We start from the raw sequence: 27,495 nt of genomic DNA, 5'->3' as shown, positions 1-27,495 counted from the left end.
ATTGCTGCCTACTTCAATCGACGGGTTTTTGTAAATATCCAATTAGGTAAAAGTTCTGAAAGTCCTTTGAAATAAATAATACAAAGAACTATATGGATGTAAAATATTGTTATTTTCAACTTTGATAAAATTTGGCTGTAACATGAGAAACAAGACTTAGTAAATCTTGCCATGCCCTCAGTAAATGCTGCTAGTGTAACTAATTTCGTATGTGACATATAGATGATAAACGAAGAGAGGATTTATTATGGTTTTGTTGTAGTTTGTTTTGTTCTTCTGGTTTATTCTAGTTCTTGGAAGTAGATGGGGAAAAATTCTGTAATGATGTGTACCAGAAACATAATAGGCAAGACTCATTAAACCAGAAAGTTCCTGACTGGATCTGGCGTCTGGGAAATTCAGCATATGCTACCAGTTGAATGTTGTGATTGGCATATGTTTGGCATTTGTCATATGGAGACACCCGAAGCTCTAAGCAATAGTAGAATAGCAAGCCCCTTGGTGGAAACAAATGAAAAATGTTTCATTATTAACCCAAGGAAATAAACCTCTGATAAAACCTATGAATAATGCAAATAAAGGTATGTGAGAAAAAAAGTCAGAATCAAGGGAAAAGTGCTGTTTTCCTGATCAGTGCCTTGGTTGTTTGGTGGTGGTTGTTTCAGTCTGACACACTGACTGTCTTTCAATTAGGCGTGTATTTTGCTTCTGTTAGGTGAAAGGAGACATCAAGTTAATGTAAGAAATAGTGTGTGTTGGGCCAGGCGCGGTGGCTCACGCCTGTAATCCCAGTATTTTGGGAGGCCGAGGAGGGTGGATCACCTGAGGTCAGGAGTTCGAGACCATCCTGGCCAGCATGGTGAAACCCCATCTCAACTAAAAATACAAAAATTAGCCGGGCGTGGTGGCACACTCCTGTAATCCCAGCTACTTGGGAAGATGAGGCAGGAGAATAGCTTGAACCCAAGAGGGGGAGGTTGCAGTGAGCCGAGATCGCACCAGGGTGTCAAGAGTGAAACTCAGTCTTAAAAAAAAAAAAGAGTTTGTTTCAAATGGCTAAATTTTCCTTGGTCAAATAACAAGGTCAAAACTGCACACCGACCTGGTGCTGTAGCTCATGCCTGTAATCCCAGCACTTTGGGAGACCGAGGCAGGCGGATCACTTGAGGTCAAGAGTTCGAGACCAGCCTGGCCAACATGGTAAAACCCTGTTTCTACTAAAAATACAAATTTAGCTGGGCCTGGTGGCGCACGCCTATAATGCCAGGTACTTGGGAGACTGGGGCAGGAGCATCGCTTGAACCCAGGAAACAGAGGTTGCAGTGAGCTGAGATCACGCCACTGCACTCCAGCCTGAGCAACAGAGTGAGACTCTGTCTCAAAAAAAAAAAAAAAAAAAAACTGCATACACTTTTACATGGTAATTGCTTTTGGCTCAAATTTAACTTTTATAACTTAAGAAATTAAGATAACTGAATAACCATTGCTTCTTGTGTGCCATAGAAGATATACTGATAGAATGAACAGTGTAGACTCTTAAATTCTATTGATACTTCTTACCTCTAGGAACAACCCTGAACTAAGTCACCTGTTACATATCCTAAATTCTTCAGTCTTGAAGCACCATATTCATTTGCTAATTGCCCACATCTTTTGTTCCCCCAATTACCAATTCGGAGGAGAAAATTTTTAGACTTATTTTCTCTATTAATTTTTCCTTTGTTAGATTATAATTATCAAACATGTTTAAAAGTTGAAGAGAACAAAGTGATATAATCTGTGATTAATTCAAACTTAATTATTTTAGTGTCATCTGACATTAATTTCCTCGGAGTAATAAATGTTATATAATTTTTTAAAAATACTATTAGAATACCATTAACATAATTATAACTTGAAATGTTTTCCTCATATATAAGGAAGGTTAATATGACCGCTGTATCAAGCATGCTTAAAATTTAAATAACCAAATGCCTGATGGGAATTGGGCAAATTATATGTAGCCATGGCTGCTCTGGCAAGCAACTTACTTGCACCACCTAAAATCCTGGTATGTTTTATTTGCCTTTTCCGGGAAGTGGAGCAAATTTCTGTGTAATTCTGGCAGTTCACAGAAATCAAGACTGGTATCTCTTCTTGACAACTTAAGCCTGATACTGGATGGAATACCAGGACAATTCAGATATTTTTTAAATTTTTTTATTTTTATTTTCTCAGACGGAGTCTCACTCTGTTGCCCAGGCTGGAGTGCAGTGGCGTGATCTTGGCTCACTGCAACCTCCGCCTCCTGGGTTCAAGTGATTTTCCTGCCTCAGCCTCCCAAGTAGCTGGGATTACAGGCTCCTGCCTCTACACCCAGCTCATTTTTTTTGTATTTTTAGTAGAGACAGGGTTTCACCATGTTGGCCAAGCTGGTCTCCAACTCCTGACCTCACGATTCGTCCACCTCAGCCTCCCAAAGTGCTGGGATTACAGGTGTGAGCCACCATGCCCAGCTGACAATTCAGATTTTAAAATGAACTTGAGGCCGGGCGCGGTGGCTCACACCTGTAATCCCAGCGCTTTGGGAGGCTGAGGTGGGTGGATCACCTGAGGTCAGGAGTTGGAGACCAGCCTGGCCAACCTGGTGAAACCCTGTCTATACTAAAAATACAAAAATATCCAGGCGTGGTGGCACATGCCTGTAATCCCAGCTACTCAGGAGGCCGAGGCAGGAGAATGGCTTCAACCCGGGAGGCGGAGGTTGCCGTGAGTCGACATCGCGCCACTGCTCTCCAGCTTGGGTGACAGAGCGAGACTCTGTCTCAAAAAAAAAAAAAAAAAAAAAAATCAACAATAAAGTAAATAAAAAATAAAATAAATGTGAGATCGCATAGGAGAGAACATTCTGTGCATACATTTAAAGTGAGAAGATAAAAATGCAAGATCACTGATTATCTGGCAAAGTAAATAAATGACACTGAGATGGATGAAATTTTAATACCTACAACTGCTTCTGTGGTCACTAAAAGTCTGCAACGTCAAATAAAGCTTTTCTAGTCTCCTGTGCTGTATAATTAACTTTCATTGTCACTTAAATAACATAAACATCCCTTTTTCCTGGCTGCCCCCTCACATGACTTAGAATCTCTATTTAATTCTGTGCTATGAGCATTCCTCTGTTGCTGTGTAACATGATTTTGCAGCCAGGTTTGCTCGTGTGGGAGTGCTAAAGACTATTAGACTCAGTGCAGTGATGTTACCTGGCATCTCTGTGTGTCCTCAGGGTTGTGTTATTTTATGAGCATCTTATATGCTTATGTATCCATTATGTACTGCCTGTTTTATATGCATCTATGTATTTATCCATGCAACAAAAGTTTTCCTTGGTTAGTTTCTTCTCAACATTTTTGTCCATGATCCTCATAAAGTCATACCACATTCACAGAAGGTACAAATCCGAAAAGGAGAGCTAGTAGAGTACAAGAGATAACAGAAGCAAAAATGAAATGATTGCAATAAGCTGCAAGAAGAATTTTGATTTTGCTAAACCAAAATTGGACTTACCTGGGATGAAAGTAAAGGTTTCATAGTCAGAAACCTTTCAGAGGGTCCAGGGCCTAGGACGGCTCTCTTCTCATTGGCCCCTTTGCTGGGCCTGCACCTTGCCATGTTTTTTTGTTTGTTTAGCTTTCCAAAACATGACTGTATGCAATAACAGGATTGAGGCTATCTATTGGCCTGGGCAGGAGTTAAGATGATGAAAGCTCTAGGACTCAGGGTTGACCACAAGCTCAGGGTCAGCCAGCGGTATGAAGTACAGGTATAATAATGGTCTTAGGCTGAGTTACTTAAAGTGTGACAGGGTCTGAGTAATTACAAGTATTACAGAACTCTCTCCTCCTCTACTTAATAAGGAGAGCTGGTTTGGGGGAAGGTCCTTTTGTTTTGCCGAGCTGACTGGCTGACTGGGGAGGCGAGGAACTTAGAACACACTTATACAAATTTAGAACAAAGGCTACCTGGGTTTAGGATTGGGCTGGGAAGAGGAGATTCCTGAAGAGATGAAACAGAGGCTGAGGGAGGGCCTCGGAGGGAAAAAAGGGAGGAGGAAAGATGTGAGCAGCTGCTGTGAGGGGTGGAACTGGGAGGAGAAGTGGGCGGGAATTTTTTGCCGATGTGACTGCTCTGGGCCAAGGCGCTAAGATTAGCCAAGAAGCCTGGGATTATCAAGGTGAGTTTTCTAGATTAGCCTATGTAATAGTCCAATCATATTCTTGGCTTAATATGTCAATCTCAATTTTTGGCCCTGGTCCTGGCATTAAAGGACACAGAAAAACTAGAGTTTTCCCAGCAGAGGAAAATTAGGATACTGTGTTGTTCGGAAATTGTGATCAGAGGGACTTCTGACTGAAGTGGACATGTTTAATTTAGAGAAAGAAAGACCAGGGGACACCAACTGACTGTCTTCAGTTATTAGTGGCACTGTCACTAGGAAAGAGCAGTCAGTTTGCTCAGTGTTGCCTCAGAGAAGCAGTCCTGGGGGGAGTCGACCATTGGGTCAGTAGGAGGAAGAACCCTCAGAGGGGCTGGAGGTGTCCATCAGTGGTTAGGGCACTCGGCGGAGCAGTGAGCCCCCCGCTACAGAAGCCCAAGCCCAACCGAGATGACCCTCTACCCTCTGTTGGGGGTTTGCGCGAGTGCTGTGCTCTGTGCCCCGGGTGGAGGTGGAGGTGGAGGTGATGGTCAGTGTTTGCTTCCAAGTCAGTAGGGAAGGAATTAGTATCTATGCTATGTGCTATATGCCCCATGCATTGCACTTATTTTCTCACTTAAATTTCTGAGAGACATAATGTTCTCTATGAATGAAGGTTTGGGGGCTCAGGCCTATTAAGTCATTTGCTATTCAGTGGTCAAATGATTTGAGCCTCAGATCTGTTTTGCTCCAAAACTAGTGTTCCTCATGCATCACGCTGTCTCTGATAATTAACCAGCATCTCAATATTAAGCTCTCTTGTGGAAATGCCGTATGTAAAACATTTATGGCAAGTATGTTTCTTATAGATTTAAGGAGCAGTATATTTTAGTGGTTAAGACATGGGTGTTGGATTAATCAGACATAGGTTAGAGTCTCAATTCTGCCTGTTAATAGCCCTGTGACTCTTGGGCAAGTAACATCTCTGGGCTTTGGTTAACCCATACAGTAGTTACCTCACAGGGCTATTTTAGGATTAAATAAAATAATGTAGAGAGAATGCACCTGATGTCAGTTGTTTTCATTGCTGCAATATTTAATACCTATCTAGACATCAAAGGAAAAGAGATGAAATACTAAGTAATATCCCTAAAAGAAGCACTTGAACTGAAAATATTTAGGATCATTGGACTACTTCTTTGCACCTGTAATCCCTGTCATCTGAATTCTCTTACCTTCCGCAACCTGGGAACTTGGGTATCTGTAATATCACTTCTGCAGTCAATATTTGACTTGACCTTCACCTTAACAAACTCACCAAACACAACAGCCTTGCGTTTTAGTCAACCCAAGGGCACAGGAATCATTAGTCAAATCAATGACCAGGATAGTCATAGGACGCCCATACTCATAGAATTCAACCATTTGTCAGTTACAAGCCAATCACTGAATGTCAGCAAAGCTCAGAAGATATTGGGGCCAGACTCTCTTGCTAGACAAAAACTAAGTGGCTTCGTTTTTAACTCTTATACTTAGGGTATTCCTTCTTATCATCTCTCTCCTAGTTGTTTAACGCTAAACGGCTGCAAAATGATGGCTGCTTGTTGTAGAGGGCAGCTGACCAAAAATAAGGAAATAGAGGAGGGATGCCAAACTATCAGGGATTCAGAAATGTGTTTCTGAGAATGCTCTTTGGGCCACTCTCAGCTGAACTACCTGCAAACTAAGAAATCTTAATCCCTGGGCCTCAAACCTACTGAATCAGAAGTCCAGATTGAGAGGCCTGGGGATTTTCATTTTAACAGTCACCTTGGGTGATTGGCTTATGTTTCTTCTGCAAGAACTCCCCAGGGCCATCCATCCCAGCAGCAGTAGAGTCCAGAGCCTAGGATGGCCCTTTTCTCACTGGCCTCTTTGCTGGCCCCTGGCCCTGTGCCCCTGCCTTTGCCCTCCCTGTCTGGATGGCTCTCCCCAGTTATCTGCATGATGCATGCCTCAACTTTTAGGCCTTCCTGAAATGTCACCTTATCTTGAGGCCTTCCTGATCACCCTATATGAAATGATGCACCACGCACTCATCACCATCCTAACAGATTGTGTGGCTTACTCAGCCTCGTGTCTGTCTCCCCACATGAGGGCAAGGGTTTTGGCAGCTTTATACACCATTGTACTGCCTGAGCCCAGAACAACCTCTGGCACCTAGGAGGGACTCCGTGTTTGAAAACCCTAAGGAAGAATCAGGGAAGAGAGGCCTCCATCGTACAGGGAGTTGTGAAATTGATGTGAGGATTTCTGAATCCTCACCTCTTTCTATTCTAATCCTACATTGCCCTTTTAACTTGGATTGTAATTTAAAAGTATTAAGATGTCAAAAATGGTGAAAAGTTTAGACATGTAGACATCAATGACTTTAGAGATTGTTTTCTGTATAGTGAGAATGACACGTGACAGATACTTGGACAGATATGTCCAGAAATTCTAAGGTCTTTAGTATCATTTTTAATTTTTTTTTTTTTTTTTGAGCCAGAGTTTCACTCTTGTCACCCAGGCTGGAGTGCAATGGCGCAATCTCGGCTCACTGCAACCTCTGCCTCCTGGGTTCAAGTGATTCTCGTGCCTCAGCCTCCAGAGTAGCTGGGATTACAGGCACCCACCACCATGCCCAGCTAATTTTTATATTTTTAGTAGAGGCGGGGTTTAACCATGTTGGCCAGGCTGGTCTCGAACTCCTGACCTCAGGTGATCACCTGCCTCAGCCTCCCTGAGTGCTGGGCTTACGGACATGAGCCACCACGCCCAGCCAGTTAATATACTCTTATAATTTTAACTTGGGGAAACTGAGTTGACTTACATTGTTTCAACTTTTGGCACCTTTTTCAGGATTGTATTCTGCCTACCTATATTATTGGGGTTGTAATAAACATTAATGGGATCTTTGAATTTATTTAAATTCATGGCCGGGCATGGTGGCTTAGGAGGCTGAGGCAGGAGAATTGCTTGAACCCGTGAGGCAGAGATTGCAGCGAGCTGAGATCACACCATTGCACTTCAGCCTGTGTGACAGAGCAAGACTCTATCTCAAAAAATAAAAAATAAAAAATAAAATAAATTCAGCTGGGTGCAGTGGCTCACGCCTGTAATCCCAGCACTTTGGGAGGCCAAGGCGGGTGGATCACCTGAGGTCAGGAGTTCGAGAGCAGCTTGGCCAACCTGGTGAAACCCCGTCTGTACTAAAAATACAAAAATTAGCTGGGCATGGTGGTGGGCGCCTATAATCCCAGCTACTCGGGAGGTTGAGGTAGGAGAACCACTTGAACCTGGAGGTTGCAGTGAGCTGAGATCAGGCCATTGCACTCTAGCCTGGGCGACAGAGGGAGACTCCATCTCAAAACAAAACAAAATAAAATAAATTCGCAACAATTTTTTTTTGAGAAATAACTCTTTAGGTAGGTGGGAAATTATGACTGTGGTATTTCTGATATTTTGGGTTTAATTTACATCTTTTGCATGTGTCTTTATAATCTTTCACTGTTTAATTTGAGAGTTTACTAATCAGCATTAAATTTCGCATAGCTGCAAAATTCAGTGTCAGCAGCCCAGTATTTTCTCTACGTAGATGTGAATAGGGATTTTCTTCTGTTATTGGGGCACTATCAGGATCTAGTTCCTAAACAATTAAGCTGCGATTCAAGCAGCCTACATTTTTTTGTCTGATGTTTAATGCATTTCCATGAGACTCCTGGAATATGAGTGTAAAACAAAGGAATGTGTCCCTGGTATTCAGATAGTCGATGATGTAAATCCTCCAACTGATGCTGCTGATCTCTTAATATTTTTTCCTGTAGACAAAGAAGCTGTAGGTGCAATAGAGAGGAGAAAAAATGACAAGGACATTTGAAACTGAAATTAATCTTAGTATAGGAGAAATGGAAGGCAAATTGACATATCAGGGACATGAACAATTATGAAATATCATTGGTCAGGTTTCCAAATGCTAATTTACCCATGTGTCTAATTTTCTTGATGAGATGAAAATTATAGCATCCCAATTTTCCTTTGAGAAATGTTTTTCTCCAGAAATATACAAATGTTATTTTGCAATTGTATTCCTATACATTCATTCTCGTTAATTAAAAAAAAAATGTTTACATGGAGAAACACTCAATATAAATACATTTTACAGCTCTAGCCAAAGCCACAGTCTTAAGGTATTGTTCATTGTGTTAATATGTCCCCTGGTTTCTATTTTACTGATGCTCCTGTTTAGAATTAAGGCGATCCTTCTTCATGTGTCCTCACAGCCCTGCTGTAATTGACCTGGCAGGCCGCCACATTGTGGGCCCCCACGGTAATCACTTGGAGAGGACATCCTGCCTCTCTAATTTGACTGACAGGACAAGCCCTGTTTTAAAATTGCTGTCATGTGCTTTTTATCAGTAAATAACACCCATGCTACCAAGCATGTGTACACTGAAATAGACAGCTGTGTCTTTTTAATGTGCCTTTTCCCCAGCAGAGGAAAGTGGCTGAAAACAACCAGAGCTTCATCTGGCTGTAAAGGTCCTTTCTGCTGACGACAGTGCTTTTTGAAATCTTTTCTCACCTCTTTACAAGAGAGCCATGTGCATACTCTGTAGATCGGTTGATCTCAAGTTAAATAGGCTGACTTCCCACACGCGGTCGTTGCCTCAGAGATTCTGTCTGGATTTAATATTTTCAGCTATGAGAAAATACAAAAACATGGAATCAGTCTGGGCAGGACTGACTACTGGATGAATTTCTGCACCACATAGCACACCAAACTTTCTGCCACTTGTTTTTCATGAAGACATGTAATTTTAGTATGATGAATAATGATGGTTTTTTAAGTTGTGTTGCCTTTAGGTATTTAGATACTTCTTTTCTTTTTTTTAATTTTATTTATTTATTTAGAGACAGAGTTTGGCTCTGTCACCCAGGCTGCAGTGCAGTGACACAATCTCAGCTCAGTGCAACCTCCTCATCCCAGGTTCAAGCTATTCTCCTGCCTCAGTCTCCTTTGTAGCTTGGATTACAGGCCTGTGCCATCATGTCAGCTAATTTTTGTATTTTTGGTAGAGCAGGTTTTCACCATGTTGGCCAGGCTGGTCTGAAACTCCTGACCTCAAGTGATCCACCCGCCTTGGCCTCTCAAAGTGCTGGGATTACAGGCGTGAGCCACCGCACCCGCCGAGGTATTTGGGTATTTCCAACTTTGACTTTTGAAATTATATTTTGCTCTTACATGAATTTTTATGGAAGAGATATATTCAGTTGAGAAGATGACTATATTTATACCAGTATCAAAACAAAACAATAATGTCGTAGCTGTCCACTGGGTGTTTGGGGTAATGTAGTTTAAGAAGAGAATCCACAAATGTAGACTTAAGAGAGAAGGCAAGCCCTTGAATAAATCCCACAATGAACCTGATGACTTGTGTTTTCACCAACACAAGTCTTCCTATAAATATTAAAGCATCCCACATACACATAAGTGACAAGGGCCTTGGGAAGGGAACAGTTGACATGGAGATGGACACTGCTGGTGGAGAGAACAGGAGATGGGAAAGAGGAAACATCTACAGGAAGCTGATGTAGAAATAGGGACAGGACAAGATTGCAGGAGTCATCTATTTCACACATTCTGTCTGATTCTGTTTGCCTGCAATATAGGGTCCCAGAAAGGGGAACATGGAGACAGAAGTACAGAGACAGGGAGATCCCTGCCGGCAGATTGCCTTGGAGGAGGTGGCAGTGGGAAAGATGCGATCACACGTGCACTGTGGAGAGATCCCCCAGGCTGCAGGGAGGAAACTGTGGGCCTAAAGTGGGAAGACAGTTCAAGACCATTATGCCAGGTGACAGGGAACACGAGGAAGAAACAGGCATAAAATATAGGTGATGCGGAAACCCCTGGCAACTCACTGGGCCTGAGCAAAGAAGCGGGAACATGTGGTGATACTTGTTGGAAGCTTTAGGCTACGGAGTGAGGTGCTAGTGAGATGGCAGAGTATGCTCTGTAGGCATTTTGGGAAATATGGGATTGGATATAGGGTGGAAGGGAAAACAGAGAAATTTCCGTGTATTGATTAGCTACTGTGTGTCAGATATTTTGCTGTTTAATAGTTTTGAAAGCTCCCCAGGTGACTGTGATGTGCAGCCAGGGCTAGAAACTGCTGTCATCTCAGCCTTCTCTGTACCTAGTTCAGGCAACTGGAGTTTGAAGCCAGCCTTCTAAGCCTTCTCTGGGAGATTTATGAGAATCTTTTCGAAGTAAATTTTTAAAAGTTATAAAATATCTAATATAATTGTTAGAAAACTCTTTAAAAACATACAATTGGTCAACAACCATCTATTTCTTAAACTTTGGTGTACATATATATGTATGCATATATGTATAGACTTACATATGTTACATGTGATTTGGAGAAAGAAATCAATGCATCTTTGCATGCTGTGTTATACTTCAGCTTTTCCTACAGCATCTTTGAAGTGCTGTAATTGAACATAGGCTTCAAAAAAATGTGTTTATTCATATTTCTTGCAGTTCTTTAAAAGTAAACTCATGACACTCCACATATGAATGTCATGGACCAAGCTGAGCTTGAGCTTTTCTGCTCAGGTAGCAGAGACCTTCATCATTAAGGAAACTCACTGACAGCAAGGCCTAGCCATAAAGAAGTTTGCCGGTATCACAGCATCGATGGCAATGAGAGGAGTAGGTAGGTAGGTGAGATAGCACAGTGGAATCCCTACAGACAAGCAGGGAAGATGGCTCGAAGGAGATGCAGCAAGAAACTTCACTTTCTCTACTGAGTTCCATGTGTTGTCTTTATTTTTTTTAAAGCAGGTGACCTTAATACATAACTCAGAGCTAAAATGACACCAGGTACCCAAAGGAACTGGAAACATTGTGAGTAGAAGATTATATTGGTCTGTGCAGAATACTTCCTTAGTCACAATGAAAGCACATTCTTTTGTTCTGGACCCTTAGAATAGAAAATAACACCTTCTGCTTGTCATTTTTATGCATCCAGAAACACAGATTTTCAACATCTTATAGTGAAGGCATTGCTGAGTGAAGTATAGCACACATGTTTTACAGTAGTTCATTATAGTTTGTTAGTAAAGCAGCATGACTGGAAATAGGCTGAAACCATTTTAGTGCAGGAGAACCACGGCTCTTTGGTTTGGCCTTAAGTTGTAAGCAGAAAGCTTTGGGAACAGTCCTACCATCTTCATGGAACAGTCAGATGTTGTACTTGTCATTGATGTTTTTGCTATAGTTTGATGTGTAAATAAGGTACTTAATTGTTGTTGGAGAGAGAAGTTTAGGAGATGGTTTTCAGTACATCAGACCAGTGCTGACCAGGCTCAGACCAAATTCTTTTTTTTTTTTTTTGAGACAGGGTCTCATTCTGTCACCCAGGTTGGAGTGCAGTGGTGCGATCTTGGTTCATTGCAACCTCTGCCTCCCAGGCTCAAGCAATCCTCCTACTCAGTCTCCTGAGTAGCTGGGATTATAGGCATGTACCACCGTGCCCGGCTAATTTTTTCTATTTTTGGTAAAAAGGGAGTTTCTCCATGTTGCCAGGCTGGTCTCAAACTCCTGAGCTCAAGAGATCTGCCCACCTCGGCCTCCCAAAGTGCTGGGATTACAGGCATGAGGCAGTGAGCCTGGTCCTCATGCCATATTTTAACTTTGATTCTGGAATGCTAGAGAAATATTATTATTTATGAATATGGATGATTGAGTGGGATAAATACAAAACAGTCATTTGATTTATATATATATAGACACACACACACCATCTATTCATATATAGGAAATGGGTACTCTGAGAGACAGATGATCTTGCATGAGGTCATTATATATGTGTGTATTTTCAGGTATATATGTACATATATATGCATATATATGATGAAGAAAGACATTGGACAAAATATTAAGTATTATAATAGGAACCAGGGACTCTAAAAGTTATCTGAACTCAAACTGAGAACTGTCTAACAAGGCAGGACCAGGGCAGATGGGGAGACTGGAGTTTGCAGAAAGGTCCCAACCCATTAGGATTGGTAGTCCAGCCATCCCCTCTGAGCTGCAGAAAGACCGAGCAAGTGATAGCTTGGGGAACATGAACACAGCCAACTCCGACTGGCACTGCTGTGAAGGACTCTGGTGAGATATAGATCTTGGAGACCCTGGGCTTCCCTTTAGCCAGCACCTGTTAAGAGTTTTTTCTCATACCCCCAGGAAGAGGACTGGGGATGGAAGAGGACTGGGGATGGAAGAGGACTGGGGATGGAAGAGGACTGGGGAAGGAAGAGAACTGGGGAAGGAAGACTGGTCATTGAAGAAGTAGTGTTCTTAGGTAAGGATGCTTCTCCTCTGATGGGAAGGCAGGGGGTCAAGGCAGAGTTTAGAAATTGGGCCCTGCCTGGTAGCTGGCAGGAGTGCTCTCTGTCCTCATTTGGGAAGCGGAAAGTGCACAGGCAGGACCTTACAGATGCAGTCTGCATGGCTCTTCTCCACACAGCCTCTACTGGAGCTGCAGGCAGCTGGAGGGGCAGATCTGGTGGAAACATGTTTAGCAATTAGCCAGAAAGTGGCTCGGGAAAGGGGCAACTTGAGTGCAGTTGTCTGAGGCTGGAGATGGTGTACATTCTATAAATGTATGTGTAGACTAAATTTACTTTGGCTGATTTAATTACTCCCTGAAGTTTTAAAATATATTCAGTCAGTGTATATTGAATAACTACTCTGTGCAAAAAATAAAGCCATATAAACTTCAAGGAGTGTGCGGTCTAATGAAGAAAATGAAACTTGTAATCAAGTGATTACATTGCAAAGCACCGTGCCAAGTTGTAAAAGAACTACCGTAAAGAGGCACAGCATGCTTTCGATGTTCAAAGAAGGGAAAAAGAAAAGTAACTTCTCAGTGGAATCATGAAAGGGTCATGGCAGATGGAGTCCTGAGAGATGGGGACAGAGGTACCAGCAGGAAGAAGCTTCTGGAAGTGGAGAGACATGAAGTAGCTTAGAGAGTACGCCTACCCCGGTTCAACTGGAGTAGAGCTGTGGGGGAAGACAAAGACATCAACCTGCTAGCGTAAGATGGCGAAGAATCACATAAGATCTGAACATCATGTCAAGACATTTGCCTTTTCTTCAATAGGCAACTCCTTTTTGGTTTGTTTTGCATGCCCCAAATATTCAAAGACTTAGGCAGATGATGTATGACTAACATCTGGGATTTCATGATGTGGGCCTGTGTGAAATATTTTATGTACATTTGTCTTATTAATCCTCCTTCATATCTCTTTTTTTTTTTTTTTTTTGAGATGGAGTCTGGCTCTGTCACCCAGTCCAGAGTGCATTGGTGCAATCTCGGCTCACTGCAACCTCTGCCTCCTGGGTTCAAGTGATTCTCCAGCCTCAGCCTCCCAAGTAACTGGGATTACAGATGTGTGCCACTGTGTTTGGCTAATTTTTGTATTTTTAGTGGAGATGGGGTTTTACCATGTTGGCCAGGCTGATCTCGAACTCCTGACCTCAGGTGATCCGCCCGCCTCGGCCTCCCAAAGTGTTGGGATTACAGGTGTGTGCTCGGCATATATCTCTTTTTATAAGATAGAAAATACATGCTCAGACAAAGTATTTTGGGCAAGATCACTGAGTTGGTAAAGTGTAAAACCCGCATTTGAAGCCAGCCTGTTTTCACTCATCCCCTTTGTAATGCACCACATTGCCTCTATTGAAGATGGATTTTTTGTCTTTTTTTGAGACGGAGTCTCACTGTGTCACCCAGGCTTGAGTGCAGTGGTGCGATCTTGGCTCACTGCAACCTCCACCTCCTGGGTTCAAACAATTCTCCTGTCTCAGCTCCCCAAGTAGCTGGGATTACAGGCCCCTGCCACCATGCCCTGCTAACTTTTTTTTGTATTTATAGTAGAGACAGGGTTTCACTATGTCAGCCATGCTGGTCTCGAACTCCTGACCTCAACTGACCCACCCACCTTGGCCTCCCAAAGTGCTGGGATTATAGGCGTGAGCCACCGCGCCCAGCCATAAATGTATTTACTTTAAAACTGATTCACCCAGAGAACAATAGCATTGTAACTGGGTAAAACATGAGTGCTCAGTCTTGAGAGACTGTCCTTCCTCTGTTGTTGCTGCTTACAATAATGGGTTGGAATTAGCTAAGCAGATACAAGAATTTGAGAGCCACAGGCCTTCCCTCATTTTACCAACATTATAAAATGTGAAGCACGTCAGTACAGCCGATAAGCACCTAGGGCCAGAAGATGTAGTTTAGGTTGTCAGTGTTTGGGAACTGACATTGCCAAGACATTATTGCATCTTTTCTGCTTTATTAAAGGCGACTTAGAATGATGACTTCCAGTTCCTGCTTCTGGCAACAGTATTGAGTGCTGGCTACTGAGTTTACAGTATCCCCCCAGGGAGAGAAACAGACTTTTTCAGTGACGTCTACAGTAGGAGAGGTGTAGCTATTTCCTTTGTTCCTTGTACAAAACACCATACTCAGTTTTGCTTCCGATACAGATAAGAAATCTTTGTTCAATCTAGTCTGTGTTCAGAATCCAGATTTACACTGACCTTTTGTGTGGAAGAGATAGATTATTTTTTATCACAAGTGGTTTACATTTCTTATTAATTCAGACGGAAGTTAATTCACTCAACATTTGTAGGGAACAGAGTGGGCAGGGTGCTAGGACACAGAGATAAAAACATTAGCACCCTCGAGGACATCTTGAGCCATTGAGCTTTCAGTCAGACATCATAAAGACTGAGTAAGAAATATCAAACCTGAGCACAAAAAAGATACTACCCAAGGGACTCTTAAAGTGCAAGAGATGAAGCAAAGATAAAACCAAGCCCCTGCCTGTCAGCCCCTGGGGGGATGTGTAACGATGTGCACTATGAGATGTGTGCTCACGTCTCCGTGATGTAGACTTAGCTCTGTAAGGTGACAGGAATATGCTTGTGTGCGTGCATATATCATAAGTGCATATTTTCACTAATAGCAGTAAAGATGTTTGTGGAAAGCTAGGTTGCTAGTTTTATAGTCCATAAAAGCAGCTCTTGGGAGTCTAGGGACATACTTGGATTTGTGCTATCTGGAGAGAGGAGTTGGGGGGAGATACCTTAAAAACACAATTCAGGGGAAACTTCTTCCATTTGGGTAAATAGGGGAAATATATTTTGCTGTAGGCCAAAGTGAAGATGTGGTTGACGCTAAGAACCTGTCGTTGCCTTAGGTGCTGTTGTAAAGAATGTTAGAAGGTTTACAACACTGTGGCCAAATGTAGATAAAGTAAGTTTTGTTACATTTTTTTTTTTTTTTTTTGGAGTCAGAGTCTGGCTGTGTTGCCCAGACTGGAGTGCAGTGGCACAATCTCGGCTCACTGCAGCCTCTGCCTCCTGGGTTCAAGTGAAACCACCTTTGCAAAATTATGACTTAGACAGTTTATCAAGATTGTAACATCCCTTTCCCAAAGCAGACCTCCTTCTTGCCTGGGGACTAGATTGCCTTTGTAGGACTACCATTAGCGACAAGATTAGAAATTACGGTTTAGGAGTCATGCAGCTGGAGCCTACAAGATTCTGACCCTCCCTAAACTGCCTCTAAGATCAGTGCTTGAGATATTTGCAGACCCTGCACTTGATGGATCAGCTGGCCCCACCCAGATGGATTAACTGGCTTATCTGATCTTGTGCTCCCACCTAGGAACTGACTGAATGCAGGAAGACAGCTCCGGGTCCTATGATTTCATCTCTGGCCAATCAGCACTCCTGGCTCACTGGCTTCCCCCCACCCACCAAGTTATCCTTAAACACTCTGCTCCCTGAATGCTTGGGGAGACTGATTTGAGTAATTATAAAACTCAGGTCTCCCGCACAGCCGGCTCTGCGTGAATTACTCTTTCTCTATTGCAATTCCGCAATTCCCCTGTTGTGATGAATCGGCTCTGTCTAGGCAGCGAGCAAGGTGAACCCCTTGACGGTTACACAAGAGATTCTCCTGCCTCAGCCTCCCGAGTAGCTGGGATTACAGGCATGTACCACCACCCCCAGCTAATTTTTGTATGTTTAGTAGAGATGGGGTTTGGCCAGGCTGCTCTGAAACTACTGACCTCAGGTGATCCACCCACCTCGGTTTCCCAAAGTGCTGGGATTACAGGCGTGAACCACCACGCCTGGCCTGTACATTTTTTTTTTTTTTTTTTTTTGGAGATGGAGTCTTGCTCTGTTACCCAGGCCGGAGTGCAGTGGTGTGATCTTGGTTTACTGCAATCTCCGCCTCCCGGGTTCAAGCAATTCTCCTGCCTCAGGCTACCAAGTAACTGGGACCACAGGCACACGCGGCCATGCCCTGCTAATTATTTGTATTTTAGTAGAGACAGGGTTTCACCATGTTGCACAGGCTGGTCTCAAATTCCTGAGCTCAGGCATTCCACCCACCTCGGCTTCCCAAAGTACCAGGATTATGGGCGTGAGCCACTGCGCCAGGCTTATACTTTTTAACTTACTTTTCTTTAAATTTTAGGATGCGAGTCTCTGTCATTTGAATTGAGAACATATATTCCATTAAACATGCTGCTAATAGCGATCCCTCATGCATGACTTGGACTTCATAAGACGCTTTCCAGTGCTTTTCTCACTGCATTCTCACAGCAACCCTAAGTGGTAGATGTATTTCTGCTCCCAGGGAGGCAGACTGTGTTCTTCATTCTGCAGACGAGGAAACTGAGACTGGAGATTTAAATATTCACCCAAGGAAATGGCTGGTAATGGTGGGTCTCGGACTTTAACCCGGAACTTCTCACTTCAGATTCTTTGTCTTTCAACTAGGCCACACTGTTTTATGGCAGTCTGTTTAATTTCAATGTGGCTTTGACTTCTGACTATGAGCCATTAAGCGGCAGTTCTCTAAATCTAGCCCCTAAGTGAGTCTTCAAAGTCTAACCTGAGTACCCAGCTGCCTACAGCAAGTTTTCACTCAGCTATTCCTCAAGTGATACAAATGAAGATAATTCTCCGCCCCATCCCACTTCCATTTCCAGGCAAATCCATCTTGGATGCTAATCATGTTAACTAATAATTAACTCCTGGGAATGCCTCTACTTTTTTACTTTTTTTTTTTTTTTTTATTGAGACTGAGTTAGTTTCGCTCTTGTTGCCCAGGCTGGAGTGCAATGGCGTGATCTTGGCTCACTGCAACCTCCACCTCCCAGGTTCAAGCAATTCTCCCACCTCAGCCTCCTGAGTAGCTGGGATTACAGACATGTGCCATCACGCCCGGCTAATTTTGTATTTGTAGTAGAGACGGGGGTTTCTCCATGTTGGTAAGGATGGTCTTGAACTCCCGACCTCGGGTGATCTGCCTGCCTCGGCCTCCCAAAGTGCTGGGATTACAGGCATGAGCCACCACGCCCAGCTTAAGATTTTTACTTTATCTACTGTTGCTATAAATCCTGGCCTTAGGTCAAAACAACCTTGACCATAAACCCTGCCCTTACATAGGTTGATGTAGCATTCTTGCCTTTCCCTAGGGATGGACTTCAGTTGTCCTACACATTCCTTTCCTAGGGTATATAAGCCCTGGGTGTGGTGGGTAGCAGCACAGGAATCCACTATCTGGCCTCACTGCTGCCTGAGACATGGCTTCTGTCCGTAAGTCCCTATTAAATGTTTCTTTTCGAGAGACTGGATGGGTCAGCTCAGCTTCCTCGAACTTGGCGGGTGGGTTGCATAGACCTGCCTGCTGCAGAACACAGAGGTGTTTGGGCCATCTTTCTATACATTTTAAGAAACTCAGAATGAATGAATATTAAGAACTTTCATAGTATATCGTCTTTATAATTTTCCATTGTAATATCAATATTCTGTTTTGGCAGGGGAATTTGGAGAGTGTGGAGGAGAAAAAGAAATTTAGAATATATAGGCATGCTTTTCTAGTTCCCTTCAGGTGTAAGGATATTTTAAATGTAATGAATAATTGTAACTATTGAATGAAGTATTTTTATACATTCATTCCCAACTACTAATTTTTTTCCCATCAAGTTAGAATTAAACTAATCAGTATAAATGTATCACTAAAAAAAGCTAAGTATGGACCGGCACAGTGGCTCATGCCAGTAATCCCAACACTTGAGGAGACCGAGGTGGGCAGATTGCTTGAGGACAGGAATTCGAGACCAGCCAGGCCAACATGGTGAAACCCCATCTCTACTGAAAATACAAAAATTAGCTCGGTGTGATGGTGCATGACAGTCCAGCTTCTTGGGAGGCTAAGGCACTAGAATTGCTTGAACCCAGGAGGTGGAGGTTGCAGTGAGCCGAGATCACGCCACTGCACTCCAGCCTGGGCGACACATCAAGACTCCGTCTCCAAAAAAAATAAATAAGTAAAAAGCTGAGAAAGCTGAGTATGGTGCTGTTACTCTCTTCTAGGTTTTTGTTTTGTTTTGTTTTGTTTTGTTTTAATTAGAGACAGGATCTCACTCTGTCATCCAGGCTGGAGTTCAGTGGCGCTGTGGGATCATAGTTCACTGTAACCTCAAACTTCAGGACTCGTAGAATCAATCTGACTGCCTCAGCCTTGCCACCGTGCCCCATCTTCTAGGTTATTTTACTTCCTTTTCATATCAACTCTTTGCATTTAATTAGTAATGTCTTAGCTTCCAGACAGTATCTTTTCTGTGGTGTTGCGTACATGATACTTTAAATTTACACTAAATAAGACAATACTAACCTTCAAGGAGAAGTTAAAATATTTTGTGAATAGAATCTTCTAAGTAATTTATATCTTGGCTTGAATGCAGTTTAATGACTATTTTCTGTAAATTATGTAACTATTATTTATATTTATTTCTTACTGATCTTTGCTCTTCTATTATAACTTGTCTTGAGTCCTGCCTTGTACTTCCTGTTTGGTTTATCTGAGTAAATTTTTTTTTTTTTCTTTTGAGACGGAGTTTCACTTCACCCAGGCTGGAGTGCAGAGGTACAATCTCGGCTCACTGCAACCTCCACCTCCCGGGTTCAAGCGATTCTCCTGCCTCAGCCTCCCAAGTAGCTGGGATTACAGGCACCCACCACCACGCCTGGCTAATTTTTTGTATTTTTAGTAGAAACAGGGTTTCACCGTGTTAGCCAGGCTGGTCTTGAAGTCCTGACCTCAGGTGACCCGCCGCCCCGCACCCCTCCCGCCCCCCCGCCCTCCCCCGACCTCCCAAAGTGCTGGGATTACAATCATGAGCCACCACACCTGGCCCTGAGTAAATATTAAATTCAGTTGATTGTTCCTGAAGACTGAGCTGTCTCTTTGGGCCATGCCTCTGAGATTGGTGGTGGAAGGAGGCCCAGGCTGGATCCAGCAGAACCAGCCATTGTCACTTGTTAATGTGGCCTTGGGCAGGTGGCTTAACTGTAATGTCCTAATTCTCCTTCCCAGGGTGGATATGAGATTAAAAGGAGCGACTGTATGTAAAGCGCCTGATGGGAAGAAAGTGCTGATGAGAGCTATATTGCTTTCTCCTATTCCCTCCTCACTCCTTTTAAAAATTAAAACACACATGGACCATGTCTACATGTACTGAGCCTTTGTTAAAGTTAGTATTTATCAGCTGATAGCAGATTTGTTTTTTATTCGATCAGTTTTAACCAGTCGTAACGAAGAAACTGGTTTGACCTTTATACGTGACCCAGTTAGTAAACTGTTCATCTAGAAACCTAGAAACCTATATGCTGATAGTTCTAGTTGAATAATTCTTGTTAATTTTATTTACCAAAGAACCAGAGATTTATATTCCCAGTATGAAGTGATTTTCACTTAGATAATTTTTTATTCAACCTTTGTAACTATTTTATTTTGTGGAAAAAAAAATCCTCGAATGTACTTATTTTGGATTTTCCTGTTGGTGAAAACGGTTTTTGCATACCTTCGAAGACTGTTATGTGCGAATTTAAAATGCAGATTAGCTCTATCATACACTCACTGTAACTATGCGTCTTGCTTGTCGGTCTTGCTCTGAGCTGTGGATACTCAGTTATGTTTTATCCCGGTTTCAGATCAGAAACAGTGCTCATCCTTGCTAGAAACTGCCCTCTGAAGCAAAGTTCAAGTTCTCAGGGAGAGAGCCAATCACCCTGGCTCCTCCTACCTTCGATTAAGCAGAGAACAAGCCTTAGTATATGCAAATGTGAGCTTTGTTTTGTAGAGTAAATCCTGTTTATTTGTGTTGTGGGCTTTGTTTTTATTTTTTTATCTTGTTTTCTCTCTTAGAAAAGCTCAAGCCTCACACAGGTTATTTTCCCCTGGTGCTTGATGGTCTACACAGTTTCATTTCATCATGTCATACTTAGGGAGTGACCCATCTTTCAATGTGTCTTAAAGGGCTAACCTAGGAATTATTAGCCACGTGCCATACATCAACAAGGTACACTTTGATAGACTTTTTATTGCTTAAGTCCACAGCTTCTGAAAATCTAATCCTCTGTGTTTTCCTCTGTCTCCAGGCCTCTCTGGGCCTGTTGTTATTCTCTTATGCAGCTTTTCTTTTTCTTCCATCTAGCTATCTTCTACCAGGCTATGGGCTGGACTTTTATTACTTTGGTCCAGAGGTCACAGCTCTGGTTTAATCCACAAACCTTCAGTACTTTTTTTTTTTTTTAAAGCGCGATCTCGGCTCACTGCAACCTCCGCCTCCCGGGTTCAAATGATTCTCCTGCCTCAGCCTCCTGAGTAGCTGGGACTGCAGGCATGCGCCACCAGGCCCGGCTAGTTTTTGTATTTTTAGTAGAGATGGGTTTTTACTATGTTGGCCAGGCTGGAGTTGAACTTCTGACCTCATGATCTGCCCGCCTCGGCCTCCCAAAGTGCTGGGATTACAGGCGTGACCCACCGTGCCCGGCCACCTTTGGTTCATTTTTAAGCTTTTGACTGTTTTCTGATTTTTTTTTTTTTTTACTTCTAATGATACCAAGTATTTTGTAGTAGTTGTTTTTTTTTTTCCCTTAGCCTTGTGGAGGTTCTGCATTATAGTTCTTATAACTAATTTCTATTTAATTATTTTTACCTTGACTCCGATAGTTTGTCATCTACATTTTATTTCATGAACAGAATGTTAAAATAAATTAAAAGGCTGGGTGCAGTGGCTCATGCCTGTAATCCCTGCACTTTGGGAGGCCAAGGCAGGCGGATCGCTTGAGCCTCAGAAATTTTGACCAACCTAGGCAACATAGTGAAACCCCAGCTTTACAAGAAATATAAAAATTAGCTGGGTGTGGTTTTGCACCTGTAGTCTGAAGCTGAGAGGTGGGAGAATCACCTGAGCCTGGGAGGTCGGGGCTGCAGTGGGCCGTGATTGCACCATTGCACTCCAGCCTGGGCAATGGAGTGAGACCCTGTCTCCAAAGAATAATAATAAATTAACAATTTAAAAATAAATAGTGAATCATATGTTTTACAGCTTAGCGATTTAACCGATGACATCTCATTCATTTGACAACCTTGTGGAGAAGAGTCATTCATTTATTTATTCCACAGATTTTTTTAAGCATTACTACATGCCAGACACTATACTGGATCCTAAAAATATGAAGTGAACAAAATTGGCCAAAATCTCTGACTCGTGGGGCTGCATTTAATTAAGGAAGGAAGAGAACACACAGTCGTTAAATAGTGTATTGGCCATAAGTGCTAAGGAGAAATGTAAGGCAGAATGGGAAATTGGAATTGTGGGAGGGAGTCGAGGAGATGGAGCCAATTTCTGACTTTAGATGAGGCCACGCCTCACGGGGCAGGTGGGATTTGGATCAAGCCTGGCCTCTCTGAGGGAGTGAGCGATGTGGCCAGCCTGGGCCCAGCATTTCAGGGGGAGGAAAGAAGTACAGAGGCCCTTCAGGCTCAGGGGAGGTTGGGTGGGAGGACCGGGCAGCAGGAAGGCCCGTGAGTCTGGAGTGAGCTGAACCCAGGGGACAGCAGCTGGAGATGAAGTCAGAGAGCACCTGGCAAGAGGTTATTGTTCCTCTTTTACAGAGAGAACAAATACACACACACAGAGGGTCAGAGTGGTCTTGGTGGAGGGAGTTCCTCAGGGTCACAGAGCTAGAAAGGGGCAGAGCTAGGACTAAGCAGGACTAACTGGCGCTTGGAGCCCAGGTGTGGGCTGGGGCCTCCCACTCAGGTGTCATCCTTGATCGAAGTAGTTGACATTTTATTTCTCACTTTGCTCATCTTCCTGTCTTTGGAGAGTAGGAAAGCATATTTGTTTCTGGAATTCTCTGAGGAAAGATCAGTCACTTACATTTTAACCTCCATTTTGAAGAATCAGTGATATTTCACATGGAAAAGTGTACATGGGGCCAGTATACATCACATAGTTTTGACTTCAGTCTTATAACCTTGGGAGAGTTTGGAACACAAGAATTCTTTTTAGAGGACACAAAAACCTTCATAAAATGATTATACTGTCTGCTTAAAAGAGAAGTTCTACTAAAAATTTGGAAAGCAGTTTTTGATGTAGTATCAAAAAGTGGGTTGTTTTAGTTTGCAAACTTACCTCAAACTAGTTAGTCTTCCTAAGCTAGCCCTTTAAGTCACTGCAGTTCCATAGTTTAGGTGCTGGTAAATGAATTGTATGTAGCTAAGACAATGCATCAGTTGTTTTTGACTTTGTAAAGAATTCACATAAAAATGAAAGTTGCTCAAGAGAAGAGAATTATGGATGAATACACCCTAAAGTAAATTGCTCTTCTCCAAACCAAGGTCCATGCATTATATTTTATAGAATTCACAGACTGTTGTTACCATGACAGGTCACTCTTAGTCCTTGAACAATTTTCTCACCCAAGACTATTACCAAAATCAGAATTATCAACAGTCTGAAGTAATTCCAAGGCCAATAAATAAATAAAATGACTCCTCCAAATGATAAGAATTCTCTTTCAACACAGAGACGTTTATTAAAAGTGCAATCCCAGATGCTTGTTGAATATTTATTGGATGTGGTCATCCTGAAGCAGGACGCCTTAGGTATATTGTAGCATAAAATATGTTGATTAAAAATATCCAGGGTTACAATAGCTCCTACACAGAAAATCAAATTTTAGGGCTAAAAGATTTTTAAATTCACTAATAATGTGATTTTAGTACTTCATAAGCATATTTGTTTTTCATTTAATCCTCAAAAGAACCATAGGATATAGGGTTGTTAACCCCATTTCTTTTTTTTTAAACATCTGAGTTATAACGGGGGCACAGAAAGGTTAAGTAACTTCTCCAAGGTCACCAGCAAAGCCCGTATTCTGGATTTGCTTTGAAATCTAGCCGTTGTGCTTATTCACACTCACACTATCCTTACTCTTCCTTTTCTTTATCCTTATAGTTTTGATCCTCATAATTTTTTGTTTTTTAAACATAATTTCTTTTTAGAGATGGGGTGGTGCTATGTTGCCCAGGCTGGTCTTGAACTCCTAGCCTGAAGCAATCCTCCCACCTCAGCCTCCCGAAGTGCTGGGATTATACGCATGAGCCACTATGCCCAGCCAAACTTCATAGATTTTTTGACCCCATAAACAAATCTGTTGTAATAACCAATGGATTTTTTCTTTTTTCTTTTTGAGACAGTCTTACTCTGTCACCCAGGCTGGAATACAGTGGTGCGATCTCAGCTCACTGCAACCTCTGCCTCTGGGTTTAAGTGATTCTCATGCCTCAGCCTCCCAAGTAGCTGGGATTACAGGTGTGCGCCACCACACCCAGCTAATTTTTGTATTTTTAGTAGAGACGGAGTTTCACCATGTTGGCCAGGCTGGTCTCAGAAACTCCTGACCTCAGGTGATCCACCCACTTCGGCCTCCCAAAGAGCTGGGATTATAGGCATGAGCCACTGTACCTAGCCCAATGGAGTTTTTCTTTCTTGGTTTCTTTTATACTATTTCTACTTTCCATCGCTTCCATTGAGACTTTCAGCTCGTCACATCTAATATCTAAACAACAAGCCATGAACTCATCTCCTTGTCCTTGGTCTCCCTTGACTCCCACTGTCCTGTGAATTCCCACTCTCCTGTGAATTCCCACTGCCTCATCTGTAATTTCGTCATCAAGAGTCATTCCTAATTTGATGAATTCTAAATTGCTCCTCTGATCACTTTATAAGCACTCAACTTAGGTAACAGCAGAAATGGAGAGGAGGGAACACAGTTGAGCCATTGGGCTTTAGAGCTTCTTGGATGTGACTGTATCAGGAAGGCATGAGCCATGACTCCAAGGTTTCGATGCTGGTAATAGAATCAACAGAAAATAGAAGAGGAAGGAAAATTTGAGGAGCAAGAGTTGATTGGGGTTATTTGCTGGAATGGTCAGGGTTGAAGGTAAATCATTTACATTTTTCAAGGCTCTATGGTCCAACTGAAATGCCTTCTTTTTGTTGTTGTTTAGTCTGAAGTTATAACTCTGTAAACATTGATTTTTTTTTTTTTTCTGATCAGTTCATCTGACTCACAGTGTTATAGGACAGAGGACTATTTATTGTGTAACAGATGTAGTACTTCTGGTTAGTGTTAGAAAGACTTTAGAGCATGGGAGAAAAACCCAGTGATGTTGTTAGGTGTGTCTCACCTAATAGCTCTTGGAGTAAGGTGTTCACCTGCCCCATCATGGTTTGTGCTGACCAGCAGCCTACGTAGCAAATTCATTGGAATGGGTGACTTAAAACAAAACTTGCTCACTTTATTAGAAACAGTTTAACAAAGCAAACAAAAGCCAAATATTCTTTAATCTGCTTTATCATGATGGTATAGACCAATAGCCATTGTTGTGTTTACTGTTGACTAGTGTCATCAAAATCAAATTGTAAGGCTGGGTGCAGTGGCTCACGCCACTAATCCCAGCACTTTGGGAGGCCGAGGCGGGCGAATCACTGAAGCTCACAAGTTCGAGACCAGCCTGGGCACCATGGCAAAACCCCATCTCTACAAAAAATACAAAAATTAGCCGGGCATGGTTGTCTGAGCCTGTAGTCCCAGCTACTTGGGAGGCTGAGTTTGGAGGATGGCTTGAGCCTGGGAGGCAGAGGTTGCAGTCAGCAGAGATTGCCCCACTACACTCTAGCCTGGGTGATAGAGCCAGAGCTTGTCTCAAAAAAACAAAATAAAATAAAATTGTAATTGATCATACAAGTATTAATATTCTAGCACTAAATAATTCTTACTCAAAGAAAACTATCAGGTTGAGGATAATAAGCATTAACTGGGGACATCGAATAAAAAGTGAGTTACATCTTTATAAGTAATCTCACTAAGTGTTTCTTAGTTTGATATTCCATTGCGTCAAACCTCCTATGATTTGAAAACAATAATACTGAGTCAAAATAAAGATGTTAAATTAAAATTCTATTCATGCTTACTTGCCCCTAATATTTATGATCAATTTGCTTAGGTTTTCTTAATCTTTTATTAAGTAAGCTGTGATTTTTTAACAATTTGAACCATATAATATTTTGTGCTTAAACCATATTCCTTAAACAGTAAGTATTTGGTTGACAAAACTATAAATATACACTATAAATACATATAATACATACATTATATATATGTACGTTATACACATACACACATATATAATATGCTTATAATGTAAATATATGGAATTACTATATGGAGTTTGTGTGTGTATAGAATAGTAATATGTTTTTTCCAACAAACTGAGTTTTTTAACATCGTGTGTCCAAGAAGGGGTTATAATACATTTAAGCTCTGCTAGTTTTTCTTCTAAAGACCAAAATGGATGTAATCATGAGGAATATATGTTTAAGTTTTCACAGTAGTTTGAATAAGCCATGGTGAAATATTTAAGGTTATCCAGAGGGAGAAAAGCACCCTTTAGTTTATAGACAATTAAATTTAAATGCAGCCATAACTTACAAGGATAAATTTGAACCATCCATCCTTTGCTTTACTAGCTAGAGTCTGCCCTCTCATGTTGGCAGTTCTTTACAAAGAAGAGAGGATTTCATGTGCTTGCTTATAGTTTTGGAAAATGTGATGAGTTTAATGATGTATTTTTCATTTGTGAAATGAGTGTAGATAGAAATCAAAATGATGAATAGAAGATGTGAGTGATAGTGACAATTCTGATTGAAATGACAGTGAGAATGCAAAAATGAAATCAATTTTCTATTTAAATTATTACAGCAGCATTCATTAAGGCCCTTTCTTAAATAGAGCTGGATATTGCAAACTGGAAAAAAATATTAATCATGGATTTGCCCTAGATTTTTCTGCATTAGTCTGGCATGAATGTTTATATTTAAGCTGCAAATAGTAGTTTTCTAGGTATTCAGAAGTTAAGAACAATTTAGATTAAGGATGTTTAAAGCTCATTTGTAAAATGCTCATACTATTTGAGCTGTTTTAAAAAGATTTGCTTAGCGAAAGTCATTGGATCAGAATAATTCTGACACTCTTAATCTTTTTTTTTTTAAACTAAGGGCCTTAGACATTTTCTTTCCATTTAAAAATTTGAATGACAAAACCAAGTAAGTAATTACTTGAAATAGTGAAGTAAATACCAAATTTGTGCCCAGGGAAGAAAATACACTAAATCTTAAGGAACACAGAGGCAATTGTAAGACAATACAGTCTCTCTTGCCCATCTTTGTGTTTGAACAGATTTTGTAAATTCATTGGTTTGTAATAATATTTGGCAAGAGGTTCAGAAGTAGTGATGTAGCAGCCAGTTGTAAATAGAGAATAAATTTCACAGGCTAAATGATTATGAGTGACCAAGAGAATAGCAGCACTTGGGCAAGAGGGAACTGGTGGACAGAGAGGAGTTGGGAGGGGAGATCTGAGATGCTACAAACAAACAGCAAAAGAAAAATGTTTCCCTGAATTCATCTCAATGCTAAATTATGTCAAGTCACCATTTACAATGCTTAGAGTTCATTATAAGTGCTACTGATTTTTAGTGCAACTGGTTCTTATACTAAAAACATCAGCTAATAAAATGAAATTTATGTTAATTTTTTAAACTAAAATAGTAGCCAGTGAAGTGTACCATAGTGTAGATGTCTTAGAAATGTCTGATTCTTCTTTGGAAGGTAAATGATCAGTGGCTTTCATTAACTGATTTGCAAATCCAAAAATGTGTTCTTCCACACTAAGCCATATTTAAAAATATATATATATTTTTGTAGAGATGAGGGTCTCACTATGTTGTCCAGGCTGGTCTCAAACTCCTGGTCTCAAGCAGTCCTCCTGCCTTGGCCTTCCA

General features: G+C 41.7%; 1 protein-coding gene across 5 annotated transcripts in view, besides 4 other annotated features; it reads left to right on the top strand.

Annotated features, from left to right (window-relative positions):
* PRKN (parkin RBR E3 ubiquitin protein ligase) overlaps window positions 1–27,495 on the top strand; it is a 1,380,350-nt gene that overhangs the window by 180,265 nt on the left and 1,172,590 nt on the right. The gene's annotated exons all lie outside the window — the stretch shown is intronic.
* Window positions 490–989: an enhancer, noted in NCBI's record as "H3K27ac hESC enhancer chr6:162967545-162968044 (GRCh37/hg19 assembly coordinates)". NCBI's record gives its function as "activates a minimal SCP1, AML or CMV promoter by ChIP-STARR-seq in naive H9 embryonic stem cells {active_cell/tissue: H9 hESC(naive)}" and the evidence as "EXISTENCE:reporter gene assay evidence [ECO:0000049][PMID:30033119]".
* Window positions 990–1,491: an enhancer, noted in NCBI's record as "H3K27ac hESC enhancer chr6:162967043-162967544 (GRCh37/hg19 assembly coordinates)". NCBI's record gives its function as "activates a minimal SCP1, AML or CMV promoter by ChIP-STARR-seq in primed H9 embryonic stem cells {active_cell/tissue: H9 hESC(primed)}" and the evidence as "EXISTENCE:reporter gene assay evidence [ECO:0000049][PMID:30033119]".
* Window positions 4,132–4,631: an enhancer, noted in NCBI's record as "H3K4me1 hESC enhancer chr6:162963903-162964402 (GRCh37/hg19 assembly coordinates)". NCBI's record gives its function as "activates a minimal SCP1, AML or CMV promoter by ChIP-STARR-seq in primed H9 embryonic stem cells {active_cell/tissue: H9 hESC(primed)}" and the evidence as "EXISTENCE:reporter gene assay evidence [ECO:0000049][PMID:30033119]".
* Window positions 15,444–16,261: an enhancer, noted in NCBI's record as "H3K27ac-H3K4me1 hESC enhancer chr6:162952273-162953090 (GRCh37/hg19 assembly coordinates)". NCBI's record gives its function as "activates a minimal SCP1, AML or CMV promoter by ChIP-STARR-seq in naive H9 embryonic stem cells {active_cell/tissue: H9 hESC(naive)}" and the evidence as "EXISTENCE:reporter gene assay evidence [ECO:0000049][PMID:30033119]".

This window comes from Homo sapiens, chromosome 6, assembly GCF_000001405.40.
Source record: "Homo sapiens chromosome 6, GRCh38.p14 Primary Assembly".
Classification (NCBI taxonomy): Eukaryota; Metazoa; Chordata; class Mammalia; order Primates; family Hominidae; genus Homo; species Homo sapiens.
This window is presented reverse-complemented; position numbering and strand designations above follow the sequence as displayed.